Source organism: Homo sapiens, chromosome 4, assembly GCF_000001405.40.
Source record: "Homo sapiens chromosome 4, GRCh38.p14 Primary Assembly".
NCBI lineage: Eukaryota > Metazoa > Chordata > Mammalia > Primates > Hominidae > Homo > Homo sapiens.
The window spans coordinates 110,615,890-110,642,384 of NC_000004.12; the positions used below are offsets into that span (position 1 = coordinate 110,615,890).

Below are 26,495 nucleotides of genomic sequence, written 5' to 3' on the forward strand. Positions count from 1 at the left end.
GCCCCCTACCAGGCTGAGAGGCGGAGAGGCCGGGACCGCTGGGCCCTGCGGCTCCAGAAGCCAAAGTCCGCCCGTGGGGACCGTTTTCCTCTCCACTGCTCTCAAGTGAACAACATGGTGGGAGGTGACCCTCGTCCAAAGGGCTTTTATCTGCCCCCCACTGCTGCGTGATCCCTCCGCAAGTCGGAGGCAGAGCTTTAAAAAGAAAGAAAGTGTGCGTTGAGCACTGATCTTAAATCGGGGACATTATCTGCGATCTCTTTAAGTGGCAGCAGCAGTTTCTTGCAGAACAAAGACTCAGTGTTCGAGCTCCAAAAGCTTCTAGGTAAAGTTTCATTCAGATGAAAGCAACTAAGGCGAAAAAACAATGATATTGTCGGCTCCAGAAAATCGGCGGTTACTTTTTGCTCTAAGTTCCCCAGCGTGGTGTTTGTTCTCGCCCACTTTGGTTGTGCGGGGGGTTGACAAGCATAACAAAAGATCTCAGCACATCCCTCCCCCCACCTCCACAACGACCCTCCTAGCGCCATGAGGATGAATTCTCTGGGACTAAGTGGTATTTGTTTCTATTTGTTATGAAATCAAATTTCACATTTTTTTAAAGCTGAAAATCGCGGATAAAGAAGGATCGGGTGCTTAAAGTTCATTTAAACACTCACACCGAACTCATTCCCTGTTTAGATGTCAGAGGATGGCAGGGAGGGCCAGGGCTGTAATTCATCTTGATTTGCTTCATTGTCCTGCAGTTTGCAAACTATAATCCTGTATAATTTCAGGAACAAGCAGGTTTAGAATTAATGGGTCAATATTATTTAAAACAAAACACCGGGAGCATGACCTTTGCCTCAACTACATATTGCTCGACAAGACTCAGGAAACTCCACTCTAACCTCTCAACCCCTGAGTTCTTTGAGAAACTGAAGGGCTGTAGTTATTAGAAATCATCTTTGTTTCTTTTAATGTCTCCAAAGGATTTGGAAATAGTAATGCAATATAACATGAAGGATCTCTCTACTTAAGCCTGAAGATAAACGTGGAAGCCTAAATATTTTGAACTGGAGATGTTTCCCTGTAAATTTATTATAGATGTATTCCTCCTGAGAGAAATGCATATAAACTATACATGTATACATGCACAAATATTTCTCCAGAACAATTTGCTAGAGGTGTAGGTTTCCCCGTAAAGGAGTAAACTTGAGAGTCATTTTAAGCTGATGGACTTGCTAAATTTCTTTCTTCTTTTTTCTTTTTCATATTATTTGCTAGCCATAATGGAATCCTCTAGGTTTAAGCCAAAGAAAAATTGGAGAGACAAAATTAGATTTTGTAGCCCTTTTCCCCCCCGGGAATGCCTTTTTTTTTCTTTTTAGTTTCTGATGAATGGCTATCATTTATTTCTACCAAATTTAAATAAGGACTGCTGCCTTGTATGTTTAACTAGGCAGGCAGAGGGAACTGGTTTGTTTAGGAAGCAGTGACTGAGATGTCCTGGCCAAGTTAGTGACAGAGGAGGGGAGAAAGAATCCAGACCAATTTGTATGCAGTATATTTTACTCCCATGAAATAAAACACATTTGTTTCATATTTGCTGAAAAGTAAAACAATAATATTGTACGAAATGTTATACACAGGGTAGGTTGTACATAGCAGTTTCAGAAACATCATTGCATCCACCAGAGAAACTATTCTAAAACTGATATTCACACATTTTTTATAATAATAATAATATGTTAGAAACATACAGTGTGGCATTTAGTATATACACTCCCTTGCTCGCAAGCGAAAAATCCTAATCGCTTCTGTATAACATGCTTTATTTTAAAGCCTAACCTTTAAAAACACTGTTGTGATATTACTAACAACTGCTTTTATAAAATTAATTTGACATTTCGATATATATACATCCTTTCAGTCATTTAAATGTTAACAATGCTAAACTTAAAAAATAACAAGCTTATAGTAATGTTAAAATGTCATATCCAGTCAAACATTTGTTTGTGTATGTGTCCTTGCAACTGTTAGAAATACTTGTAGTGAAAGATGTCAGACACTGAGGACATCCCTTTGAAATCAAAGGAGCTCTCTCTTTGATTCAGTGGTTTCCTTTTCTCTATATAGCTTCTCTTTCTCTCCCTTTCTTTAGTGCCCACGACCTTCTAGCATAATTCCCAGTCTTTCAAGGGCGGAGTTGCCCCATCCGGCAAGGTCCTAGGATCCCGGCGCTGTGGGTGCGGCTCACACGGGCCGGTCCACTGCATACTGGCAAGCACTCAGGTTGGAGGCCGGGTTCTGCACGCTGGCGTAGCCGAAGCTGGAGTGCTGCTTTGCTTTCAGTCTCAGGCTGGCCAGGCTCGAGTTACACGTGTCCCTATAAACATACGGAGGAGTCGGCGGCGCGTAAGGACAGGCAGGCGTCGGCACCGCGGAATTCAGCGACGGGCTACTCAGGTTGTTCAAGTTATTCAGGCTGTTGAGACTGGAGCCCGGGACGCCTGTCACTGCTGAGGGCACCATGCTGGACGACATGCTCATGGACGAGATAGAGTTGGGTGGGGAAAACATGCTCTGTGATGACAGGGGGTTGACGTTCATAGAGTTGAAGAAGGGGAAGCTCTTGGTGGATAGGGAGGCGGATGTAAGGCCCTTGGCGGCCCAGTTGTTGTAGGAATAGCCTGGGTACATGTCGTCGTAGGGCTGCATGAGCCCATTGAACTGCGGCCCGAAGCCATTCTTGCATAGCTCGGCCTGCTGGTTGCGCTCCCTCTTTCTCCATTTGGCCCGACGATTCTTGAACCAAACCTGGGGGCGGTTGGGGCAAGGGAGCAAACAGATGCCACAGTGCAGATTACTAAAACTTCCATCGGAGGCCAACCCCCGCCTTCCCCCGACACACACGCTAGCGCACTCACACACCCTGGCCTCGCTTCACTGCACCGCCCTGCACACCAAGATACCAGGGCCAGCTTTCAGTTACTGGCCCGGGTCTCCACCAAGCGCAGGAGACCTGGTCTGCTCTGGCCTGCGAGCTGGGACTCGGAGCTACGCCACAAACCTCAGCCGAACGCATGGAGACCTGCGGACGGTTTGATCACTCAGCCAGGCGTTTCTCCAGGTCCAAAAACACTTAATGTAAAACAAACGCGGGGCAGCAGGCTTTTCCAACCCTTCCCGGGGCACCTTGCAAACTTGCTTCCATTCCAAAGCCACAGACCCACGGATGAGGAGAAGGGGCTGGAAGGGCACTAGAGGATCGCTCTTTCTCCCACGCAATTCCTCCCTTCCTTCCCTGACCTCCACTGTCGTCCCCCACCCCCTGGTACGTGCTCCCTTAACAGGGACTAGGCCGCCAACACTCTTTCTCGCCTAGCAAAACAACCAAATAAAGAGCAAAAGACCACCTCTTCGTCAGCTCGTTAACTCCAGGAGCTTGGCATATTAAACTCCGGGAACCCGGAAAGGGTAGTTTTGGAGATTCCCCCTTCTTTCGCTCTGCCTCTTCTTTACCCTAAGCCCACCACAGGCCTGTCCGCGCGCCAGGCCCAGCCGGGTCGTTTGGCTTTGCAGGCGGCCACCCAGGCCGGCCGGCTTCCACCCGTGTCCGGTGGCCCAGCCGCAACCCCGATCCCAATCCACATCGGGCCTCCCTGTCGCCCCAGACGGCGGCTTTTGTGTATTGGAGAGAGGCCTGGCCTGAGATATCCGAGCTGACACCAGTGATGTTTCACATTACACATCTCCGCCGGGCCCAGCCGTGTAATCCGCTTTTTCTCTTTTTCCTTTCATTCTTGATTTCCTTTTTATCCCCCTTCCTCTTTGCACCCGACTGCTATAAAAAGCACGCCTCACTCCCACTTGGCTCGACAAGCAGCCGCCCTGGAAGGAGAGGCAGCTGCAAGGAGAGCCCAGCGCCGCGGCTACAAAGCACTAGGGTGGAGCTGCGGAATAGCGGGCGGGGTGGGAGGGCGTTTTCGAAGGATCCCAGAAAACCCATAGACTCTGTCTTTAATTACTTGCCATTTCTACCCTAGGCCATCTAAACTTTGCTCAGGCGAGAAGAGTACGTGAGAGGCCCGTTCCCTTGATGTGCAAGAGAGCTAATGAAAGACTGACCTTGCTCAAAACCACGCCGCCCAGGACCCAGCTCTGGCTCTGGACAGTTAAACTAAAACCATTTTCAACTTCTTCCCGGCCTTTTATCCACCAGCATAGCCTCATGCCTTGCACAAATGCCACCCAGAGAGTGTCTTCATTCCCTCTGATTTGGGAGAGCATTTTGGTCTTTATTCTTTTTATCGTTGTTTTCTTCTTTTTGTTTGCTCTGCTCTAACCGGGGGCTTTATTTTTTCTACCCAGAGCACTTAATTTTTTTTTTTTAACAGCAAAGCCTCTGGATGCCGCTTGATTTGCTTGATTCTGTTTTCTGCTTCCAGAATCCTAACAAATTTGGAATCTTCCACCGACCAGCATAAACCAGGACGTTGCTATTGGGTTATTTATTTGAGCTCATTTTTGCCAATCCATAAAGTACAGATTTGCTACAAAGTTAAGGTAAGCCCTTTTTACAAAACTATGATTATAATTTAGAAGAGGGGGTGTGAGTTTCAATTTCCAGAGTTCAACTCCTGAGAGAAGATAAATAAACCAAGCAGAAAAGTCTTTCTTCTTTTTTTCTTTCTCCTTCTAAGAGGACTAGTAGTTGTGTATTAAAACTTTGCTCCCGGAGATCACAAAACTAGGAAATAGGGTGTGTGGGAGAGACCTGAATGGCCGAAACAACCGTAAAGAAGGTGTAAGAAGCGCGAGCCCAGGAGGGAAAAAGCTGGGCCAGGGCCGGGACAAAGGTTTCCCAGGGAGGGCCAACTCTTCCGTGTCTCTGGCGGGTTTTCCTTGTTAAAGGCTCACAGGTTGGAGCCTGTTCGCGGCTCTTGGCCTGGTAGGGATTTTATTAGCTCTGCTCTGGCAACTGCAAGCCAGGAACACAATGTCCTGTGCAGGGGATTGCCCATGCAGCCCAGCTCGTGAGATCGCGGGATGGCGGGGCAGTGAGCCGGTGCCGCTCTGGGAGCCTGAGCCAGGGCGGCAGTCCTGTCGGCCTCGGAGAGGGAACTGTAATCTCGCAACCAGGCCGCCGCGAGGCCTTCTGCCTTTGCAAAGCTGCGCCCCACCGGCGCCCTCCCAGGCGGCGCTGCCTTCCACATTCTCTCCTGGTCTACTTGGCCTGTACCTCCACAACATCCTCCCCCCATCCCTCCCAGACTCCGTGCTGGCTCCTACCCGGACTCGGGCTTCCGTAAGGTTGGTCCACACAGCGATTTCTTCGCGTGTGGACATGTCCGGGTAGCGGTTCCTCTGGAAAGTGGCCTCCAGCTCCTGGAGCTGCTGGCTGGTAAAGTGAGTCCGCTGCCGCCTTTGCCGCTTCTTCTTAGACGGGTCCTCGGCGCCCACGTCCTCATTCTTCCCCTGCTGGCTTTTATCTTTCTCTGAAAACGAAACACACACACTTTCCCGTCAGCATGCCCACCTGCAACGCGGACGCCAACTGGACCGGCGGCAGAAGCCGTGGAAGAGCTGGGCTGCCTGGCGCCGGAGGAGGGTGCGCGCGGCGGCTCCGGGCCGCGAGGAGCGCTGCGCCTGTGGGGTGTGCAGGCGCAAGTGTGGGTGTCCGCGCCCCATTTCCTCCCCTCCCCCAGCGCCGCACGTTTTATTTACATGTTTATCTCACTGCAGCGGCACATTCACTTTTATAGCCTGTGCTTTCAAGTATATTTATACACCTCTGCGCAGACACACCAAATCTCCTGGGACGCGCACACGCGCGTGGTTTACAGACCCCCCTCCCCCTCGCAGAAAGCTCAGATTTCCATGCGGTTTGGGAAGGCTAGGAAAAGATGTGGGGATTCGGTTGGGCACCGAAGTTCGCCGGCCCTTTCCCAAAAAAAAAAAAAAAATGCCTCTTCGCGAAGGGCATTTCTGAGTGGTTTCAGGCAATTTCCTAACGAGTGGAGCTCCTCGGGAGCTGAAAGCCGAGAGGAAAACAGGGACAGAGGTCGGCGGCCTCTGAAGGTCCTCGAATCAAGATGCTGGGATTTTTGTGACCCAGGAAACAGAAGGGAGGCCAGGGTACGAATAGAGAGGGCGGCAGAATTGCTCGCGCCCTTAGCGCCCCAGGAGCCGGGCCGGTCGAGGGAGAACTAAAGGGATGCGGGGTAGTCAAAATTCCGGCTCCCGGAAGTTCTGCGGGGAGCCAGGCGAACGACCACTCCCACCACGCCTCCCCCCGGAGGGGCTGACTTCCTTGGGGCGAGAGGGAGCGGGTGGCGCAGAGCAGCTGAGCGGGAATGTCTGCAGGGCGGCGCGGCGCCTTACCTGCGGCCTCCGGGCTGGAGGTGTCGGAGATGGTGTGCACCTCCAGCCTGTGCTTGGAGGAGTCCAGCGACCGGGGCTGACCGGGAGCCAGAACCGAAGCCATGGCTAACGGCTGGGGATGGTGACAGGAAGATGAGGAGACGGCCGACAGCTTGGTCCCCGCTGCTCGGTGCTCCAAGTGAAGCGGGCCTTTCATGCAGTTCATGGACGAGGGAGCGCGACGCTCTACTAGTCCTTGGCTACTGCCCCGCCGAGCCCCCGTAGCCGCCGCTGCCCGCTCCGGGTCGCGCTCTAGGCGCGGAGTTTCCCCGCTGCGGGGAGAGCCAGGGGACGCAACCCCCGCCGAGTTCTCAAGCCAAGCTGCCCCCGTCTCCTCCGGAAGGCTCAAGCGAAAAAGTCCGGAGACGGAAAGTCAGCGGGCAAACGAAGACATGGGATGTGGGCAGAAGGGCACCACTCAGAGCGTCTTTAGGGAGCAGGCTTCCAAGCTCCAAAGCGAAACAAGAGTGGGCAAAGACCCCCTTCTTCTCTCCCTCCCTCCCCCAAGAACCCCTCCAATAAGGAAAGCTAACGCCGACCGCGCTCTGCCCGCCCCCCCCCCACGCGGCAGCCCTGACAGAGAAGTGTCAAGAGTGACAGGGACAGGTAGGTGATATTAGATCCCCTGCGGCGGCAGCAGCCGCTGCAGCCACGACGCGGCCCTCTGAGCGCACCCTCCGCAACGCGCACACGCACACCCCTCGGGCGGTCGAACAGGAGCCGGGCCTTGCCGCAGCTCAGCTCCAGGCACCCAGGCGAGCGACGGACCAGATCTGCGGCTCCGCGCTTCCCTGTTGGCCTAACATCTTAAAACCAGAGGCGGGCTTCCTGGTGCCGAGACGTCACTCCGCCGCGGCCCTCCCCAGCCCTCTCCGCCTCCGCCTCCTCCCAGACCCTTCTCCGGGTGCGACTGACGTGGCTCCGCACCAATCAGGACGCCCCGAGCCGCGGTGGAGGGACTGTCCTGCCTGCACCTATCAGCAGTGCGGGGCCGGGCTACTGCCTCGCCGTGCGCACTGGGTCTACACAGGCAAGCTCCCGGGAATTCAGCTCCTGCCCAGCCCAAGGCGATCCGGCTTTTAGTACGAACCCAAAGGTGAAGAGATGAGGCTAGGAGTCGAAGGCTTGGGAGAAGAGAGTGGAATGGTCAAGAAGAGAAAGGTACAAGGATCAACAAGACACCCACTCTTTGTGTCTCACTACATCCATTTCCAATCCCCCACCCCATATAAAAAGGAGACACGTTACTTAAAACTAGAAAATTTGAAAAACAGCAACAAATCACCTCTCCGATCTTAAATTTTCCAAACAGCCTGTCAAGTGAATGCTGCGCTAATCTGAAGAAGCTTTAATTGCAAAGAAGACAGAGCCCTGAAAAGGCAGGCTAATAAATTAGAAATCGAGAAGCAAATGGACCCGTCAAAAGAAAATTACCTTGACTTTAAACGAACAACTGTTTGGTGGTTCACTCTGGATTTATACAAGAATAAAAAGTCGCCTCAGATCACGTTCTCTGTGATGCTTATTAGTCCCCAGACAGAAAACACACAATAGAAGAGAAACCCTAACCCAGCGTTTTCAAAATGCTGAAAGCTTATCCATTCTACTTAACGTTGATTAAGACACATATCCTAGATCTTTCAAATTCCTTGTACACTGTATTAAGCTCGTCCTAACCCGAGAGAGCCACGCTTTAAATTCGACTCTCTTGTTTACTTTATTATCAATCAGATTTAAATCCATAAAGCCTGTAGAATCAACAACCTTGAGCTAATTATATATGAAATATGCCTTAATGAATTTCCATACAATTAAGAATGTTGCCAAATAACCAATTTCAAGGATAATTTTTAACAGTCATTTTCTTTTCCCAGTGAGCTCAAGGCTGTCTTGAGCCATTAAAGTCCAAGCAGGCAGAAGGGGTGTGTGTGAGCTAAGGGCGAAAAGCCTAGAACTGCGCTCAACTAGCAAAAGCAAAACCTTATTTATATAAAACAAAAAAAATCACCTTTGGAGACATCAACTCTTTATAGCACTGTTTCCAAGCAAATTTAATTTCCAAAGAAATTAAAGAAAGAAATCCAAACATATTCAAAATAATTTTTGAAAGTCCTTTTGTCCCCCAGCATAGGTCAGCTGGAGAGGACAAACTAATCTCCTCTGGGTTTCTGCATGGGCGATTGTTTTACTATGGAGTTAGTGTTATCATCTCTGAATGTGTATTTGTTTGACATTACAGTCAATGATTTGCAATGCCAGCATGAAGTATCTTTAAAACACTCCCTCCTTGTCCTTGTTCACAAGATTGGGAAACTTATTCGATGTGGAACAAAGTGGATGAAGCAGACTACAAATATATTTGCAACTTATGTGTCTCTCCTTTGCCCTGACCACCCCCAAACCCTATCTGCAACTCCTCCCCATTTTAAACTTGCAGTCCAAAGACGCACATGAGAATTGTTTTTCAGTCTTTCTTCACCAGTATCATCCCACTTTAAGAATAATTTAGCTGCAAGGGAGGAATTTCTTCATAGTAAGCTTTAAATCAGCATTTCTGCTTTTAACCTTTTATTCCACTTTACCCCATTCCACACATACAGACACCTGCTCAGAGTAAAACACATCCTCATGTGACAGGTCTGCATTAGCTGAGGCTCATACATCCAGCTATATTAGGTCCTGCAATCTTATCACTAAATTATACACATTACACTAGCAGCCTGTTGGTAAAGAAGGTTAAATTAATTTACATTCTGCTCATTATCTGGTGCTTAAATGACGCATTTTATCCCGGAGATTTGGCGGAGAATCTCCTTCTCAGACCCCACAGCGTTTCACTGAAGACAATGCTCTTACATTTGTAGTGGTTTTTAATCTGATAAGACTCTAATTTGCTTAAGTCTTTTAAATAAGGGTTTTAAATGTTTCTAGCCGTTTTCTTATTGAATTTCCTCTAATTCCCCCAAGATCATAAAGTATATGTGTAAAGTAAATATTTCCTCCCATTGCACTGCCAGCCGATGACCTATAACTAAGTCAATAAGAATCCAGCTCTTTTCTGCTGAATGTGTTTACTAATCATATTCCAGTTTCTTCTTTTAAACCTCAGAATAGCTGTGGTCCCCACAATACCATGCCCCTTAAAGCTTCATTTCATGAAGGGACTCCATCACATTAAAGAATGAAAAAAATCTCCACTGTAGTTAGTATACACAGCCCCTCACTCCTTGTTTTTCAAGATTCAAACCCCAGAGCTGCAAATATTTTTGGAAGCTTGGGTGTTAATGCCTTATTTTAGAAAGCCGAGAAGCCCCACAGAGCCATATAGATTTCTAAACCCATCTCTCATAAACCCACAGAATTTTGATAAAAGCTCTGGTGGCTCCACTCTACCGATGGAACTTTCATCACGACAAATATACATGTATGAAGGACCTCAATCAGCCTCCAAAGTGGTTGAAAAACCCAAGGGCACGTGACTGCTCCTCATAGTGCCAACGTGTGCGAGATGTTGGAAGCACTGGGGATCAGCAGCAGCCTAGATGCCTAAAAAGATAAGGTGTCCTAATTTGTGTGGACCCATTGAAGTCAAGTGGTGAATAAAGACAATTATCTAGATAATTCAGATTAAAGTAAAAGCAAAACCATATCTATTTGTATATATATATTCACATCCATTTTATATTACAGACACACACACGCACACACACACTGGCTCTGTAAACAACTGACTCAAAGTGAGGATTTTCTTTGCATTTTTCCAGCAGGAGTTTCAACATTCTCCTAATCTCCTAATCACTTTACACACTCACAGCAGCGGCGATTGGGTGACATTCTTCTCAGGCCCCCTGTGTGGCAGGACACCAACATGATAAGTCTGCATGGGGAAAAGGAGGTATGTGGTGGGAACTAAGAAACACTGTCCAGTGAAAACTCTGTGGCATGGTGGTGGTTGATTTTGGAGATTTAATGTACATAAGACTTGTGGGTGCACAGGCATAGGCAGCATGGATGAGAAAGGGGCCAGAAGAAAATAAATCTTATGCATTTTGTGATTCCAGCATTACTGTGACCTCTGGCTAAGTTCTTCTTAATTGGTTTTAGAAATTACTATGAGTTCAGCCTCTAACACAGAAATTTCCAATACGGAGAACATTGGTGGGATCCTGGTAGGGAAACTAGAGGTGCTGCATGGCTCACGTGGGGCAAAGAAGGAAAGCCCAGTGCCGGCGTGAGGTTTTGAGTCTGGGAGACATCAGGGGTTGTCTCGATTGGGGTTTCTTGCTTATTCTTTCAAAGAAAGACCCTAGAGGAGGGAAATGTGTGACATGGGGTCAGCCGTGTTTTGTGCTGGTATTTGCCACCGATTACCAGTCTTAAAGTCTTATTTAATTTCACACTCTTCAGTGTTAGTTGTGCAAAGTCCCTCTGGCCATGGCAGTGAGCGGTTGGGCTGTGCCGCCAAACTCTCCGTATCAATCTGGCCTGGGACTCAACCAAGTGATCTCTGACTTTTGGAAAGAGTCTGTCTTCAGAGTTCACCCAGAAGATGGCTTAATTAGACATCTCCCTGAGCTGTTAGGCCTTAGACGGGTGGGAGTCCTGCCCTGCCCAAGCTAGCTCAAGGACGAGGCCCGCCTGGACTCAGCTTGGAGCCACGTGATGGGCGTGAGTGTGTGAGCTCCTGGTAAGGCGCAGAGGTCAGATGGAGACCTTGCATCCTGCCCGAGAAGTGCCCCACCCCCTCCAATATCTGGCTTTTCTCTGCATACAAACCAAGCTGAAAACAGTCCACTACCCACCACCCCTCATAGCTATGGAACCAAATAACCCAGAAATTAAAAGCTTCACTGTAGCTGTCCTTTTCCCCATTTCCTAAATGGAATTTAAAAAGCTCTGGCTTGTCAAAAGGGGAAGATTATTTTCTGAATTGGAAGTCTGTAGATATATTGAGCAACAGCCACCCTCTCTGGGTCCCTGCAAATGGTACCCATTTTTCCAACCCACAGCTCTAGCTGCTCAACCATTTGAGATTTGGGGTAACTACCTGGGGGAACAGTGTTCAGATGGCAGTGGGAGTTACCACCTCACAGTGGCCTGGGGAAGAGAAGAGAAAGAGATTAGAGGAGGGGGCATTTGCTAAAATCACTCAACGAACATGCTGTTAATGCTTCCTCACATTTGCATGTTACTGCCACAGTTTTCCTAGGTGTCACTGAGTCTCCAGAAAGCAACTACTTGCCGAACTAAGTAAAATAAGGAGAATGGTATAGCACATGTGTTTGGAGAAGGGGAAGGAAGGGTGGAATATGAAATTGAGCATAGATATCCAGGTCAGGAAAGAAGGAAGTGGCAAGGGGCTAAATGAAGTCCCACCCCCCCGCCACTTTTTTAAACAACAGTTGGATTAAACACTCATCTGTCTTCCTCTTTTTCTCTTTTCTTCCCTCTCCAGCTTATGTCCATCTCCCTTTTCTATTTCTTTTGCTCTCCCTTCTTTCTGTTTTCTCTCTCCCAGACATGCTGGTAGCTAACATTCAGCATTAGTTGTCATGGTGACCATAAATCACCTAAATCCAAAAATACCCACCTATAATCTGAGATGAAGCTTTTATTTCCCTAGCGAAATAATATTTTAAAAGCTGTCAGCTGACAAAAAAAAAGGAACCCACCTCATTGTAGTAACCCAAGTAATATATTACTTCTAAAGGTTTAAATTAAAATGTCAGCCTGTTAAAAACATGCTGGTAGAGTCTTGGACACTCTTCCCGTCAGATCCTCACAAAGAAGTTGACTCTGTCATTCCTGGTCGCTCTTTAACATACACACACAATTCTGTATGCTCTCTCCCTTTCTATTAATTTCTTCCTCCCCTACCAACTACTTTAGTTCTCAAAGACTCTACGCATTGGGTTCTAAAAGAAAAGAATCTCCTCCTGGATCAGAAAACAGCCTCATTGGTTGCTGAAGTGAAAGATGTGGGGTTTAGGGGGAAAGGTTATTAGGACCATAATGGCGGTGGTGGTAGGAGGTCATCCTAGAGGAGTTAAGAAGAAAAAAAAATGCAGGGAGAAGGACTGGAGGTGGAAAGACAGAGTAACAGAAAACTGAGCTGGGTGGTCAGGTGCTGCGGTGAAGTCTAGCCCCGAAATGATAGGTATATATTCTCCCACTCCTGCCTTTTTCTCCTCTGAGAGAAAACTTTCCTAGTCAGAGACCCTGGGGGGTAGGAGGCGGGCAAACGCCGCTGCAGTTGGGCCTTTTGTCTTCTACCTTGGGCTTGTTGTCTTTTGCCTATCTTGGATTACAGGGTATTCGCCTAGATGAAGAGCCATTAATTACCCATTCAGTCAATATTAGGAAGACGACAAAGCTTTTTACATAGGATTAAGAAGACATCAGATTGTTCCATTAGTATATTCCTGCTCACGAATAAGCTTTCGTTATACATTTCCTTTTCCCCCGAGCCGCTCTAACAACTGCTGCATATATTAGCAGCGGGCGGTGAGGAATAACAGCCGAACCAGCCTTAAGAAACTTTGTGTACCGAGTCAGCAGCGAGGAACGCGACCTGTGAAGACCACTTTTGCGGGCAGGGATCCGCAGGGACTGACTACTTTCGGACAACTGGTACAATTTCCCCTGGGGGTGAAAAACCACAACGCGGCGGGGCACCTTTCAAGTGAGCTGCAGATTTGATTGGCGCGGGGGGTGGGGGAGGGGAGGGGAGAATGGGATGGCGGAGGTCGGGCGGAGGAAAGAAAATGGAAAACTCTCCTTACCCCTATTTCGTTGCTTTTTCCTCAAGCCTCATGCCCCCTTCGGCAAGCACCTGTCCCTTCCGCGCTAGCCACAGCTAGAGTTCTCCACCTTTCTCTACACATCCCCTTCTTTCTGACAAGGCTCAGGACCTTGGTCACCACCCCACGCACCACCATTTTGCGTTTTGCTAGAGACGGTCTGGGCTGATCTCGCTGGTGTCCATGTTAGGATTAAAATCCCTTCATGACGGCGAGGAAAACTGTATTATTTGCTTTCAGGGGGTACATTAGGAGTCCACGTAGTATATGCTCCGCAAACATTCGCTGATTGAATGAGAGGCGCGGGGGCGGGGCGGCGGAGAGGGGTCTGCGGCCGCCAAGGCCGCCAGGGTTAACCCAGGTCCTTCGAAGAAGGTTGGGACCGAGCTGCTGCCGCGTGTGAAGGTGTGTGTCGCGGCTGGGGGTGCCACAACGGGCCATGGAGCCCACCTCCCAGAGGGAGGAAGTCTGTGCACACCAGCGACTTGGGTCGAACACTTTCAGCCCATCCACTGGGCCAAAGCTATTTAACAATTAATGCGTTCCTGGGGGAGGCCGGGGGAAGTACCCGCCCCTTGTCGGGACGCAAAGCCAGGCGTCAGGTCCAAAGGGGCTGCAGTGCAGTCCGATTTCAGCACGGAACCCAGAGCCGCCGCCCTGAAACTTTTTAAGCCAGTGACAGAGGAGGGTCAGTCCGTCCTCCTCCTGAGGGTGAAGACCATTTTATGAGTTCCTTTCAGGACCCCCAAAGCAAGAAAAGCCAAAGAAAGGTCTCTTTGCTCTAGGGGGTCGTTCTCAGCTGGCTTCTACACCATCTTCTGCTAGCTGCGTCCACCCTCTCTCAAACCTCTGGCTTTTAGGGGTCTCCAGTCGCTCTCGTGCTACCCCCGTTTCGGGGTTCTATCCAGGCTGGGCATCCGCCCAATGGATACCAAGGAGAATGGGACTCACTAGGGAAGGAAGGCAGAGCCTGGACTGCTTAGAGGTGGACTCTGCCTATACAGAACGTTTAGTCTTTAACGAGGACATGGTATTTTTGGGCGGCGTTGGGGGCAGAGGCGGAGAGGGTAGCGTAATAGACTATCACGGCCTTTTGAAGAAGTCATATGTCATTGTGAACTTTTTTTCTCTTTAAAAGCAAAGAAAAACTTTAAAAAAACACAAGAAATAAATCCTTTTGTTTTACAAGCAGGCTGTGGCCAGGACTTTGGATATTCCATAAGTTAACTTAAAATCAGGGAAGGATAGGTGCTCTATCCTTCAGCAGTGCTATAGCTTTGCCCACTCGTGTGATTTTTTTTTGTCGTCTACTAGTTCCTTAAAAGCCAATTAAATCAAGATTTTCAGCATTTCTTCCCATTACATGCCTTTTCTTAATTAATGGCATTAAACGTGTTTAGGCAGCAATTTTTCTTTTCGGTCAAAAAGTAGAAAAAGACATATTGAGTGTAGGGGAAGAGCCTTTCACGTGCACTAAAACAATGCGGGCCTGAAAGTAATGGTTAAGAAAGCAATCATTCATTATTTCTAGTTCTTTATGTGCTAGTTATCAAAAGCGAACGACCAGGGGCGCCTGCGCGGCTTGTGACTGGCGCAAGCAGAACTCCTCTGCTCTTAGCCGTTTCCTGCTCACCTACGAGGACCCCATCCTACCGTAGGCTTCTCCACCTGTCCTCAGAATGCATTCCCCATGTCTAGGAAACCTGGGGTAGGGACTGGGGGAAGGAGACATTTTGCGTCTCTCTGGCTCCCAGCACAATAAGAAATGTCAGCCTCGGCTTGGCGACTGCGAGCCCGCCCCGCGCGAAGCGAGATTGGGGAGCTCCTCTAGTCTGGCCGGAGCCAGGGCTGAGCCCGCGCAAAGCATTCTCCCCAGAAGTCATCGCTGCTCTTGATTTTTAACCATATCCCAAACATACTACGGTCTAATAATTTATTTTTACTACCGATTATCAAACAGAAGAAGAATTTAACACAATCTAAATGACAGAAATCACGCGACGTTATCTCTGCATTGCCCCCATTTAACCCCATGGGGTTAATCCCGGACAAGTGAGCGTTTAACTGGCCCAGCAGGGCGACTGGCGGTGTAGTGCAGTGTCCGGGCGTGAAGCACTGGATCGCTTTAGACGCTTCATTTCAACAAATGATCATTTTCTCTCAGATTCACGGGGAAACTCCAATGCAAGACCTTTGTTTTCTTCTTAGTAATACGGTTTGTTTTTTTGACCGGGGTCCCAAATCGCCCCCCTCCATCCCATATTACATTTGTATTCTTACACTTTAATCCGGAAAGAGGGGGTTAGGGGCCGAGGGCTGTGGGGGGGGGGGGGCTTTATCTGCTCACATTATCAAAGGTCAATAGCCTCCTAAGGCTAGGCACTTATTTACTACGGAGCCAGGAAAATAGAGGAACAGTAAATTTGAGGGGTTTTTTTCCATGTATTTGAAAAGAAAGGCATCTTCCCTCCTCCATCCCTTACACCCCCCCCTCCGCCCCATAGAACAAGTTTCAATTCAGGAAAGGCCTGTGGCGTAGGTTGGAGACTTTTTAACTTTTTACATAAGCCTGTAGACCTCCTCTGGCAATGTCCCTCGATTCCTCCAGAGTGAAACCAGCCAATCAAGCAACGACATCGCCAAAACCCAAGGCCTGGCAACCAGTACTTCAGGCAGGTTCGCGTCGACAGGGGCAAACCTCCATTCTACCCTGGGCTGCTAAGCACAGTGGCTGCCCTCCAGCTCTTCAGGGATGTTGTCGGCCCCCCGCCCCTCCCCCAACCAGCCAAAGCAAACCTTCGCCAACTCAAGTTTCCCTTGCTTGCCTCCCGCGATGAACCGCGCACCCACAAGTCTGGGTGGGGCGTGGCTGAGAGCCTGAGTGACTGAGTGGGCCCTGGTGGTGCTGCGCGCAGCGGGATATAACGAGCGACAGAGGTCGCTGTTGGACCACTTTTCCACGCCAGCCTAGACGCCGAGGTTTGCTGGAGCGTGCGCAGGGGATCAGACCACAGGGAGCGAGCGAGAGGGAGAGAGAGGTGTTGGGTCTCAGGAGTGCAGTATAATTTGGGGAAAGGAATTAACGTCCCTGGGACGGCTGCTTCCCGTCCCACCCAGAGGCGGAGTGTCTAAGTTCAAGCAGCAGGCGCGTCAGGTCTGGCGGCCTCGCCTTCTTGCGCTTCGCCCGAGGCCCAGAGTCCCGGAGGCGGGTGCCCAGCGCGCGGCCTGCGCTTCCCTCCCGGCCTTACCATTGGCGCCAGGATGCTGCCGCGGGAAGAACTTGCTGCTGGCTGCCTCTTTTCGGCTCTCAGGAGAGTCCGTGAACTCGACCTTTTTGATTTCGGAGTCTTTGGAGAAGAGACATTCAACGGCCGCCGGCTGCACGCCTGGGCCACGCGCGCGCCCGCCCCACGTGCGGAGAGAGGCGTCCCGGACCGCGGCCGAAAGGAGCCGGGGACGGGAGGAGGGGGAGGGGCGAGGCAGGCCGGAGGAGAAAGAGGGACAAAGAGCAAAGACCCAGTTAGAGGAAAGAGCTGACGGCATCCCCGTCCCCCGGACCCTCTGGCAACCCGGGGCAGGATGGCGTACTCTTTCTGCGCCTCCCCGGTTGCCGGCGGTTCCAGCCGGGAGGAGTAGGCTGGGGGGCTTCGGTACACAGCGCGCCGCTGCTTCCTAGTCCACCGCCCCGCCACAGGGAGAGGCCACTGGCGATTTGGTTCTGATTTCCTTCCTGCCCAGGCTGGCCCCTCGGGGAAGCGCCCCTCGCTGGGGCCTCGCCGCAGGGCCAGTGCCCTCTTGCCGCCCTCACGTGGCGCGGCCTCCCGTCCGATGACCCGGGCAGGAGAAGGGGGTTCTTACCTAATTGCACACACGCCGACACCAGTTTGCGGCAGTTGGTCTCCATTCCCCGTTATCTGCAAAACAGAAGAGAAGGAAGGCTGTAAGAAGCGGCGGCCGTCGAGTGAGCAGGGCTCAGATGAGACTACGTTACACTAGCTGTTAGGCGCCTACTGTGTGCTAGGCTTCAGGCGTGTTTTTCCGACCTGACAGCCTCTGGCTGTGCAGCAGCATCTCCAGCCTAGCCTCGGGCCCAGGACATTTATTTATCAAGAGGGGATCTCCCTCCAGAGTTGCCGCAAAAGTGCCCAGAGGTTAGAGGACTATAAAGCCACAGTGTGCTGGGGAGGCTGTGGACCTACTTTCAAGAATCTCGGTGCCGGGGTTAAGAACTCATCTGAACGCAATGGCAGCGGGAGTGGGTGGGTGGAGAGGACTTTTCTCTTTGGGAAGCTGTATGCAAAGACCACCCTTCAGTGCTTGTCCATTAGTTGGAGCTCGGTAAACATTTGTAGAACATCAGCGCCAACGTGCCCCTGTCCTAGACAGCAGTTTCCCTCGGTTTTCTGTAATTCTGAAACGAACGGGCTCTTGGCCTAGGGTGTTTCAGGAGCGAGCTGAGTTCGGGCCTCTCATCCATCAGGAGCCACTTTTCCATATTTAGCCACACTTTCTCCTAGAGATACTAACCCGGCCATTTATTTACTTACTACAAATAATTACCCTAAAGTATGATTTAAGATCGCAGAGGAGAGACACTGGGTGGACTGAGCGAGACTGAGGAGAGCAGGGCAAACGTTCTTGGAGGGTTTACTGCCCGCCAAGGACGGAGAAATAGCTCTGGTATAACTGCTACCCAGTTCTCCCCCTTTCTCTCCCGGGCGAGCCAAATCTTTTTCACGTTTTCAACCACAACGCAGCGAGCCAAGCATTTAACGCGCTCCCCCTTCTCTGCCACAGGCAAGCCGGGAGAGGTGGGTCTCGAGGGGCTCCACCGGGTGGGTAGAAGAGCCGCGGTTGCTTTAAAGACAAGAAAAGAAGGTCCAGGGCTCCCTAGGCCCCTTCGATCTCAGCGCCTGCCTCTCTCCACGCTAACCAGGGTACGCCGACGACCGGAGGGCCCACTTCGCGCGGGTGCGGGGATCGGGGTGGGAGCAAGCGTTGTCGGGTTGGCGGAGGCACAGAGGCGGGGCAGGGAGCTGCGGGCCTGCCTCTGGCCTGAGTACCGTTTCCCTGCGTCTCGGCCTCTCCTGAAGGGAGCTGGGCCCTGGGGAGCCTCTGGCCAAGGTCGCTGCCTACAGGAGGGGCTGCCCGGCGCTGTGGCGTGGGGATCCAGGGTGGGGACGGCCAGGCGGTTCCCCCACCCGCTAGCGAGAACGCGGGCGGGGACTCTGCCGATTCGATCCTTGTGGGCCCGTGGGCCCAGAAGTAGCAGTTTGGCGGCTCCAGATTTAGTGATTCTGCAGTAAAATCACAGGATTAGTCCCTGATTGAGATGTCTGTTCGTGAGATATTACAAAATTCATTATCACAGCTTTCTACTAACTCGATATGAAGTAACACAGATGGGATTTTATTAGTCCAGACTTCAAATGTTTACTTATGATAATTTCGGAGGAAATTTGCATGTCATCATCATTTCGATAATCTTTTTTTTTTATATGTCTGAACTGGCTGCATTATTAGCTGGTAGCCGGAGCACTGCAGATGGTAACTGCAAATAGTTTTTATTTATTTATTTTTTTTAAAGAATGAAATATACAAAAGAAAAAGATTGCGTTGCTTGGTGTAAAGTCAGTCAATTATTACACATTCTTCCCCCCACTTCCCCGTGCTTCAGTGCTGAAGACCAAACAAAGCAATACAAAACAAATCTTCAAGAACTCATAGAGCTCCACTCTAAGGACTGAAAAGAAGGTCAAGGCGTGTTCCTTAGCTCACTCCTACATGTCCTTGTGACTTGGAGATTTATTTTGCAGTCAAAATGAGCCTTGAGACTTGCATTTTTATGCTTCATTTAATGACCAGGCCTACTAGAAGAACTGAGTCTAAATAACTGGGGAAGATAATTTTTTAAAAAGAGACCTCCAATTCCCGCCTGCTGATCCTTAAACTTGCCCTATCAAGACAAGTCTTCTGTGAGAAATTTGGCTGCCAGACTTCGGAACTGGCTTCAATGGCTAATCTCACAAATTGAGATGGGAGACTTTTCCTGATGGGAGGTAGTTCTCACCCCCAAAGTTCATGTTCTAGTTGGAATGTATATGCCAAGGACTCTTGTTTTGGCCAACTTGGGTTTTATATTGTGAGCACACAAAAAGCACTACACGGCTAACGGAGGACGAGGAACCATGGCAAAGCAGGCAGGCAAGCCCTAAGAAATAAAACAATTTGCTAAAAAATAATTTCTGATGACTACCGCAAGACTGAAAGTGCAGGAAAAATACAGTTCGAATAATCCCAGATCCTTTCACATTTCCCCCCTTTTCATACACTTTGTTACCCCATAACAAAATCTTTAATGGAAAGTTTAAAAATAAACAGCACAGGAACATGTGTTTTAAATGAACTAAATTGTGAAATTAGCCAGTAAATTAATTTGTAGTAAGTAATTATTTAAGGAAATTAAAATACTGCTCAGTTCAGTTCTGTATTTTACCATGTGTATGCGTTCTTTACAACCAATTAATATAAGTGCTTTAGGAACATTTGAAGACAAACACGCTTAACTTAAGGAACAAAGCACCTAAATAATTTAAGTGTAATTTTGCTGAGTTAAAGTAAAACATTCCACAAATGAAGTGGCTATTTAATTTTTTAGGGAAAGTTTGGTTATTGAAATGTTGTATGCTCATGTTACATCAACAAAAATCTTCAATTTATTTTGCTTATGTGCTTTGTTTTCTTGATATTATTGGTATTTGAATTTTAGATGGATTTCTGCCAAAATGATATTTTGTGTGATAAAAGCATCTTTAGTTTTGATTGATAGACTAAAACAAATGCAAGGAAATTTCTTTAAATCAGATTAATTTTTCATAAAAATATTTTAGAATGTATGAATTCTGATATTTACATTTATAATGGTAAAAGTTTTTTCCGTTTAGTTTAGTAAGACAATACTCACACAAAAGAGTAAAAAAAAATCACACCACCTTATGATAGTTTGATTTCTAAATTGCTTAAGAAAGTAAAGTGGTTAAACTGGAAAAGAGGAACATATTTCGGAGGTTTAGAATCGAAAATTTTTTTCTTAATCTCCAGCTGGAAAATAATTCTCTGCATCCATTTAAAGTGTATCTCCTGAAGTGCCAGATTGGAGTTGACTGGTGATCAATTTAAAGGAGTTACAATCCAAAGAAATGGTGAGAGCTTGGCATCCAGGCCTGGCTCCCAGGTAATTCGCTTGGGCCTGAGAGGTCACTAACTGCCAGTTAAGATGGAATCTTTTTCTTTTCTTTTTTTTCCCAATGGATAACAATGGGAAGGGGGCTAATCTTCCAGTAGCTGAAACTTTGTACCCAGCCCTTTATCTTGAGAATGCTAATCCTTGGCCCGAGGATTTGTTCCTGCAGTGTTGGCACCGAGATTTAAGGGAAGATACCTCGTTTTAAATGCCAGCCACGGTCTGGCTTCCCTCTCGACTTCAGCACCCTGTAGATTGTTAGTGTCTGTGGCGGGGGACGAAAGGAACAGGGCTTTGCAAGGTCTGTTTGCCGACTGCGTTACCTTGGGCGAAACTTAGCCCCAAAAGCCACAAATCACCTACGGTGAAGATTCTCCGAAGTGGAACAAATTTCCAGACTCGCATTATCTCACATCCCTGCGGGATAGATGGCCTCCACTTACCGGCTACCGGGAGAGAGCTGCTGTCTCCGCGTCCCACTGCTTCCCGGGGCGATTTCCAGCGAGCCGAGCCTCCGGCTGCACGGCAAGCGCCCGAAAGCCGGGCCTGAGAGGACTGCAGGGCTCCTGAGGGTGCCAAGTTCCGAAGGAGTCCACGGGTGCACTGGGGCCTCCGAAATCTAGCCGCCACTGGCAGTTTCTTTCTGCTCCTCTCCAGCTTTCTCGCTCGGTCTCGCACTCTCTCTCCTCTCCCTCCCTCTCATCCCTCTCTCTTCCCTCTGCTCCTACTCCGTGTGGGGAGTGACGTGACGTCAGCAGAGATTCCACCAAACTCCACTGCACAGTGGCGCGCGGGCGGCCGGCCGAGCCCGGCTGCGCGGCTGGCGATCCAGGAGCGAGCACAGCGCCCGGGCGAGCGCCGGGGGGAGCGAGCAGGGGCGACGAGAAACGAGGCAGGGGAGGGAAGCAGATGCCAGCGGGCCGAAGAGTCGGGAGCCGGAGCCGGGAGAGCGAAAGGAGAGGGGACCTGGCGGGGCACTTAGGAGCCAACCGAGGAGCAGGAGCACGGACTCCCACTGTGGAAAGGAGGACCAGAAGGGAGGATGGGATGGAAGAGAAGAAAAAGCAATCTGCGCCAACCCGGCAGCCCTAATAAATCAAAGGGGGAGCGCCAGGGCAGCGGGGAGACAGAAACGTACTTTTGGGGAGCAAATCAGGACGGGCTGGGAGGAAGCGACAGGGAAAGTGGCCCAAGAGACGGAACAAAGGACAATGTTCATGGGGTTGTTTGGGACGAGGCGTGTGGAGTGTGGGTGTGAGCGTGCGTGTGTGACCTTCTTTCAGGCCTGCAGAGTTGAGGAAAGAGGTCACAGCAAAGAGGGACTGCGGAGGGAGGAAAGTGAGAGACCGGTAGAGGGCGGGAGTGGAGGTGGGCGCGGTGGGGATGGGAGAGGATGAGTGAAGAGAAATCTAGAAGAATGGAGTGAGCTAGTGGGAGAGGGTGGGAGGGCCACAGCCGGGAGCGAACGAGCTAGGCTTGTCAGCTGGGGAAGGCCGGGACGCTGGGCCCAGCTTAGCTGGGACACCGCGCCCGAGGTCAAGGCGGGTGGACCAGGCATGCTGAGAGTGTCGGCGCACAGGTGGGCACGGCCACGCACTGACCCAGTGTTCACGAAGGGTTTGCACTGGACAAGGCTCAGACGCTCATAGAGTCTAGAATTTCCTCTGCTGTACCTACATTCAACAAGTTCACCCTGGGTCACGGATATCTCATTTTTTAAAATGACGAGGTTAAGGTTCCTGGCGAGGATGGTATTAAATTGCACGGGATAGAAGTGGGGGTGGGGGAGAGAGTTTCCCTCAAGTCCACATTTGCTCCTGCAAAGCAAAGAGTATGTGAAATTACAGGGCATATTCTCACTCGAAAAGTGTGCCTTACTTCTGAACCCTGATTTTCTGATTTCTTGACTTGAGCAAAGATGTGTATTTTGGTAGTGAGCAGAATATTTTGGCTCTGTCCTGCCTCTGAGTGGAAGGACTATAAATATAATTCGCCTGGAGGACCAGGTGTGAAGGCTTCTGCCAGGCATATGGGACAATGTTTTTTCAATCTCAAGGGCATCCTGTTAATGTATGTTTTTGGAAAGTGCCGGAACACAGCCATTGCTCCTGGATTCGGATTTTCCCACCAATATTAATTCCTGCTTGAGAGCAAAACTCAGGCCCGCTATTAAAAAGACATCTCTTTGGTCCCTAATTGAGAATAAAGTTCCCTCTAAAAGTTGTATTGCTCTTCCTAAATCAATATACCAATACTCGCAATTTTAGAAATATATAGTGACTCGGGAGAATGTGCATAAAATAGATACGTTTAAAAAAGCTTGGCGCTTAAAACTAACCCTAGTCACTATATAGGTGCTGGGCTTTCCCTACTTTTGGGGGCTGTCTGGAACATGTTATGTGTTTTCTTGAATTACTCCGTGTTTTGAATTCATTTGAGTTAGCAGTAAAAACAGGCAAACAAACTTGCTCAATTTGTTTTGAGTGCTAAATCCCTTCACTTTGAAATAGCTAACAGTCGACAGATGGACTCATTTTATGGAAAGGGTTAGCCTCTTCAGCCACGAAGAAAACTGATTAGAGATCTACATTTTAAGCCATTTCTAACCTCCACGTAACATCCGTGAAAACTCAAACTTTCTCTCTTTACCCAGTGGAAACTCAAAGCAGTGTTATTTAAGGGGAGAGAAATGAGGGGGAAAATGCCCACGTGCTGTTTAATTGTATTTCCTCTCTGACTCTGAGAATTTCTATTTCTGGTTTTTGAAATCTCGCCGAGGCAAGAAAATCAAATTTCTTCAACAAGTCCCACAACTGAACTCTAGTTACAGGACACCGGAAAGTGCAGTCCGAGAAAGACATCTTCACCTCTGCCCATCGACGATTTTTGCAGCCTCCCCATTCCTCTGAGTAATGGGCTAATAATCCTCCCTTTTTTTCTTTTCATTTTGTAGAGATTAAGAGGCGCTCGTAGCAGAACGGCCTTGCCTTCAGCTGGTGGCGAGGATAGGCAATCTCATGGAAAAGTTGGAAGAGAATGAGAAAACCAAAGACAGAAAGATTCAGAGATCCGCGGAGAGACACAGGGAGAGGGAAGGGAGTTGCGCTGAAAAGACGCAAAGATACGCGCGTGCAACTCCCTCCCCTTTCAGGTTTCAGAGGTTTGCAAACCAGGGCTGAGAGGAAGGGGCTCGGGAAGCTCACGTTCCTCTCGCCCCCCTTCTGTCTGGAGTCTCGCCCGCCAGAGGCTGGTTAACCCCAGTCCCGGCCGCCGCAGACACTGCGCTGAGCTTTTGGGTCCTCGCCTTGCCCAGCGCCAGTGCAGCTGAAGTGAGCAGCTGGTGGGAAATGCAAATGGCTCCTGGAGAAATAGAAGATACAGAATGATTCTCATTCCCTCCTCGAGTGTGTGGAAGGAGCTGGACATACGTTTCACGCTCCTAATCCTTCTTTTACATTTTTAGTCATACTCCTATTAAACAACTAATTAATGCCCAGAATCACCAGGGAATACATTAGGCATGCAATCGTAGAAGCAGGGTGCTGGGGGGCTACAAACCACCGAGCTGATTTAAGACGTGGATTTCAGGTTTTTCCCTTGTCAAAGCAGTAAAGGAAGAGCGGGCCTTGGCGACTGTATTTAGATTCCGATTACTTCAAATTAGAAGGGGGTGGAGGGAGCGTCCAAGCAAAGCAAGCAATTCTCTGCCCTGCAGATGTAAACAAGATTGTAGCATCAAAGGTACTAGCTCCTTTAGGGCTAGATCGCCTGGACTGGGAGCCTGGGGAAGGGGAGACACTAACCTTACGTATCTGTGAATTTCAAGGATGTTACATTTTTACATAAACAACTCCAGTGCGGATTCTCTGGAATGGGGGGAGTAATACCCCCATTCTAGAATATTAAAACATTTTCCCCCCAAAGCGTATATCCTTTTTATTTCCTCAAAATTTTGAACTATGTCTAAAGATAATAGTCTTCCAGTAAACTGGAGCATTGGACCATTTCCTTCACCCTTTCCTACCGACATTTTGATGATCTGATTTTAATGTGTGGGGGGCACAGGGAATTAAATACAGCCCATAAAACTAAGCTTAGATGAAACAGTGCTGGCTAAGTGGGTTCAGATAATTTTTAATGAGAATCTCAATTACACTCCTCCCCCCAATATGTTGAGACAAGTGACAGAACCGTTAGAATGGTAATCAAATTGGAAAGCTCAGGGAGAACAACAATTTCGTGATCAAATTGGGGCAAAACCGTGGACAAATGTGGGGTGACCTCCGCCAACTCCCTGTCACCCAAGAGTCAGGATTTGGGAAAGGTACAGTATTATTTCAGAGCCCGCTGTGACGGGCTGTGTGCTACCATTTACTTTCTTCACTCTGGATTATGATCTCAACCCTGGCAAGCAATTTCCCCAGCTCCTTATCTGACAACAAGCGAGTATGTAAATACCAATGGCTAGCGATGTTTAACTGCCTCAAACATTATTGATTTGTTGGCTGTTCTAAATTGTCTTCCTAGTCCAGGTCTTGTTTCCGAATTGTCTATTCTAGAGGTTTGATCCATGCCTCCGATGCTACAATACAATAATTGTTTTTTTAAAAAAGGCATTTAAGATGAACCAATTGATTTGCATATAAATTAAAATTACTATGCGTTGCCGATTCCGGTGTTTTATAATCATTTCGAAATTAGTACTTAACCACTTGAGCTAAAAGAATATATAAATGCCTGTATTGACTCACTAATGAATTACCCAATTAAAACGTCCGGGCAATGCTGGGCGCTGGAAAGATTGTTAAATCAAGACATATTACAGGAGGGATATGAAGATTAGAAAGGTAACAGACCAATATCTCGCACTCAAAACGGAGTTTCCGGTGATTCCCAGCTTTAATTTTGGAGCAGGGGTCTTTCTCCTCTGCTGTTAAAAAGATTTTGTGCTTGTTTGTGAGTGAGTGCATTCAAGTGGAAGGAACGCTCCCACGGCTACGGTGGCTCAGGCCCTTTGCTCGGACCGGGACCTTACAGTTCTAACCCAGGAGCGTTAAACTCTGGAAGACTCCGGGCCAGCCCTGGAGGTGCGTGGCCCCGCAAGTCGCCAGGCCAAGCTTGCTTTTTCTGTCTGCCCCTCCGGCAGGCTGGGCGCGCTATGGCAGTGAGCTTTCCGCGCAAACGGAGAGCTGGAACCAAAGCTGACATTTAATAGATATGCTAACTGAGCACTTACCTTCGTCCTGAGAATAGGAATAAAAGGTAGCTCTTCTTAAGAGAGGCGGTGCAAAGGCACGCTATAGGAGTTCAGAAAAGGCTGGCGGCGGGAAATCTGTAGCCTGGGGGCTAGTCAACATCCCCTTTCATTTCAAGCACTTATTGATTTGCTGTTGTCATCTTTGGCGACGCAGAAGGACACTTGAAAGAATTTCTGATGGGGCTCTGATCTGAGAAAGGAGGTGACCTGCCCAGGCTCCCACCAAATTCTTAATTACCACATCAACTGCTTTTTTTTATCCCCCACCCGACCTCCTTCCTTTTGCTTATTCTTAACTTTTTAATTATTCAGAAACTCCCTTACCTCTCAGTGGCTTCCCTTCTGCAGCAGTTTTCTATTCGAACCTTTTCCCCGCCTTTCCGTGGTAGGGCCTGTATATTGATCCCTCTGACCTTTGGCACATCTGGGCCCTCTGAAATCTCTCAATCTTTTCAGATTTGAGGATGGCAGGCTCCACCCTCTCCACTGTGTGCACACACTCAGAGATATGAAAACTTACACAGACTGCCTTCAAACCCAGGGTATCTAACAGATGTTCCCTTTCCAGTTCGTCTCTTGATCTGAAATGCCTGCCTGATTCCAACTTGGATACCACTCTTTCTTGCCCTTCCTTTTTCAAAGCAGTTTGGACATGTGTGCAAGTGAGCCCAGAACAGCTCCACCCATATTCTTTACCAAACTGTAAATAAAAGAAGAACTAATGAAGTAGATTGGCATATAGATTGCATCAAGAGCCCGAATCCCCAGTTTCTGGATTCCCCATTCAACT

General features: G+C 48.9%; 1 protein-coding gene across 7 annotated transcripts, besides 12 other annotated features; it reads right to left on the reverse strand.

Moving 5' to 3' along the window:
- Positions 172-830: an enhancer, noted in NCBI's record as "OCT4-NANOG-H3K27ac hESC enhancer chr4:111537217-111537875 (GRCh37/hg19 assembly coordinates)". NCBI's record gives its function as "activates a minimal SCP1, AML or CMV promoter by ChIP-STARR-seq in naive H9 embryonic stem cells {active_cell/tissue: H9 hESC(naive)}" and the evidence as "EXISTENCE:reporter gene assay evidence [ECO:0000049][PMID:30033119]".
- PITX2 (paired like homeodomain 2) lies at positions 1,534-26,234 on the reverse strand. Of its 7 annotated transcripts, NM_001204397.2 has the most exons (6): positions 20,892-21,122; positions 18,269-18,502; positions 17,064-17,119; positions 16,454-16,591; positions 5,275-5,480; positions 1,534-2,799 (listed from the first exon to the last, which is right to left on the reverse strand). In NM_001204397.2, the coding sequence occupies exons 3-6, from the start codon at positions 17,107-17,109 to the stop codon at positions 2,236-2,238; spliced, it is 954 nt and encodes a 317-aa protein (NP_001191326.1). In that variant the 5' UTR covers positions 17,110-17,119; positions 18,269-18,502; positions 20,892-21,122; the 3' UTR covers positions 1,534-2,235. The 7 variants fall into 7 exon arrangements, with proteins under 7 accessions (NP_001191326.1, NP_001191327.1, NP_700475.1 ...); NM_001204398.1 differs by lacking the exons at positions 18,269-18,502; positions 20,892-21,122 and adding an exon at positions 26,030-26,234; NM_153426.3 differs by lacking the exon at positions 18,269-18,502.
- Positions 3,184-3,837: an enhancer, noted in NCBI's record as "NANOG-H3K27ac-H3K4me1 hESC enhancer chr4:111540229-111540882 (GRCh37/hg19 assembly coordinates)". NCBI's record gives its function as "activates a minimal SCP1, AML or CMV promoter by ChIP-STARR-seq in naive and primed H9 embryonic stem cells {active_cell/tissue: H9 hESC(naive and primed)}" and the evidence as "EXISTENCE:reporter gene assay evidence [ECO:0000049][PMID:30033119]".
- Positions 3,838-4,489: an enhancer, noted in NCBI's record as "NANOG-H3K27ac-H3K4me1 hESC enhancer chr4:111540883-111541534 (GRCh37/hg19 assembly coordinates)". NCBI's record gives its function as "activates a minimal SCP1, AML or CMV promoter by ChIP-STARR-seq in primed H9 embryonic stem cells {active_cell/tissue: H9 hESC(primed)}" and the evidence as "EXISTENCE:reporter gene assay evidence [ECO:0000049][PMID:30033119]".
- Positions 5,144-5,796: an enhancer, noted in NCBI's record as "H3K27ac-H3K4me1 hESC enhancer chr4:111542189-111542841 (GRCh37/hg19 assembly coordinates)". NCBI's record gives its function as "activates a minimal SCP1, AML or CMV promoter by ChIP-STARR-seq in naive H9 embryonic stem cells {active_cell/tissue: H9 hESC(naive)}" and the evidence as "EXISTENCE:reporter gene assay evidence [ECO:0000049][PMID:30033119]".
- Positions 7,159-7,248: a silencer, noted in NCBI's record as "silent region_15630". NCBI's record gives its function as "represses an Ori minimal core promoter by ATAC-STARR-seq in GM12878 lymphoblastoid cells {active_cell/tissue: GM12878}" and the evidence as "EXISTENCE:reporter gene assay evidence [ECO:0000049][PMID:35858748]".
- Positions 10,560-11,061: an enhancer, noted in NCBI's record as "H3K4me1 hESC enhancer chr4:111547605-111548106 (GRCh37/hg19 assembly coordinates)". NCBI's record gives its function as "activates a minimal SCP1, AML or CMV promoter by ChIP-STARR-seq in naive and primed H9 embryonic stem cells {active_cell/tissue: H9 hESC(naive and primed)}" and the evidence as "EXISTENCE:reporter gene assay evidence [ECO:0000049][PMID:30033119]".
- Positions 11,062-11,561: an enhancer, noted in NCBI's record as "H3K4me1 hESC enhancer chr4:111548107-111548606 (GRCh37/hg19 assembly coordinates)". NCBI's record gives its function as "activates a minimal SCP1, AML or CMV promoter by ChIP-STARR-seq in naive H9 embryonic stem cells {active_cell/tissue: H9 hESC(naive)}" and the evidence as "EXISTENCE:reporter gene assay evidence [ECO:0000049][PMID:30033119]".
- Positions 12,459-13,310: an enhancer, noted in NCBI's record as "NANOG-H3K4me1 hESC enhancer chr4:111549504-111550355 (GRCh37/hg19 assembly coordinates)". NCBI's record gives its function as "activates a minimal SCP1, AML or CMV promoter by ChIP-STARR-seq in naive and primed H9 embryonic stem cells {active_cell/tissue: H9 hESC(naive and primed)}" and the evidence as "EXISTENCE:reporter gene assay evidence [ECO:0000049][PMID:30033119]".
- Positions 16,428-16,940: an enhancer, noted in NCBI's record as "H3K4me1 hESC enhancer chr4:111553473-111553985 (GRCh37/hg19 assembly coordinates)". NCBI's record gives its function as "activates a minimal SCP1, AML or CMV promoter by ChIP-STARR-seq in naive H9 embryonic stem cells {active_cell/tissue: H9 hESC(naive)}" and the evidence as "EXISTENCE:reporter gene assay evidence [ECO:0000049][PMID:30033119]".
- Positions 21,972-22,472: an enhancer, noted in NCBI's record as "H3K4me1 hESC enhancer chr4:111559017-111559517 (GRCh37/hg19 assembly coordinates)". NCBI's record gives its function as "activates a minimal SCP1, AML or CMV promoter by ChIP-STARR-seq in primed H9 embryonic stem cells {active_cell/tissue: H9 hESC(primed)}" and the evidence as "EXISTENCE:reporter gene assay evidence [ECO:0000049][PMID:30033119]".
- Positions 23,208-23,803: an enhancer, noted in NCBI's record as "H3K4me1 hESC enhancer chr4:111560253-111560848 (GRCh37/hg19 assembly coordinates)". NCBI's record gives its function as "activates a minimal SCP1, AML or CMV promoter by ChIP-STARR-seq in naive H9 embryonic stem cells {active_cell/tissue: H9 hESC(naive)}" and the evidence as "EXISTENCE:reporter gene assay evidence [ECO:0000049][PMID:30033119]".
- Positions 25,098-25,601: an enhancer, noted in NCBI's record as "NANOG-H3K4me1 hESC enhancer chr4:111562143-111562646 (GRCh37/hg19 assembly coordinates)". NCBI's record gives its function as "activates a minimal SCP1, AML or CMV promoter by ChIP-STARR-seq in naive H9 embryonic stem cells {active_cell/tissue: H9 hESC(naive)}" and the evidence as "EXISTENCE:reporter gene assay evidence [ECO:0000049][PMID:30033119]".

Excerpts from the sequence above, each read along its gene's own strand:
- PITX2 (NM_000325.6), bottom strand. The coding sequence starts at position 6,571 with ATGAACTGCATGAAAGGCCCGCTTCACTTGGAGCACCGAGCAGCGGGG. Across the intron at positions 5,481-6,366 it reads CTCCAGCCCGGAGGCCGCAG|AGAAAGATAAAAGCCAGCAG; the intron begins GTAAGGCGCCGC and ends TTTCGTTTTCAG. Across the intron at positions 2,800-5,274 it reads TTACGGAAGCCCGAGTCCGG|GTTTGGTTCAAGAATCGTCG; the intron begins GTAGGAGCCAGC and ends AACCGCCCCCAG.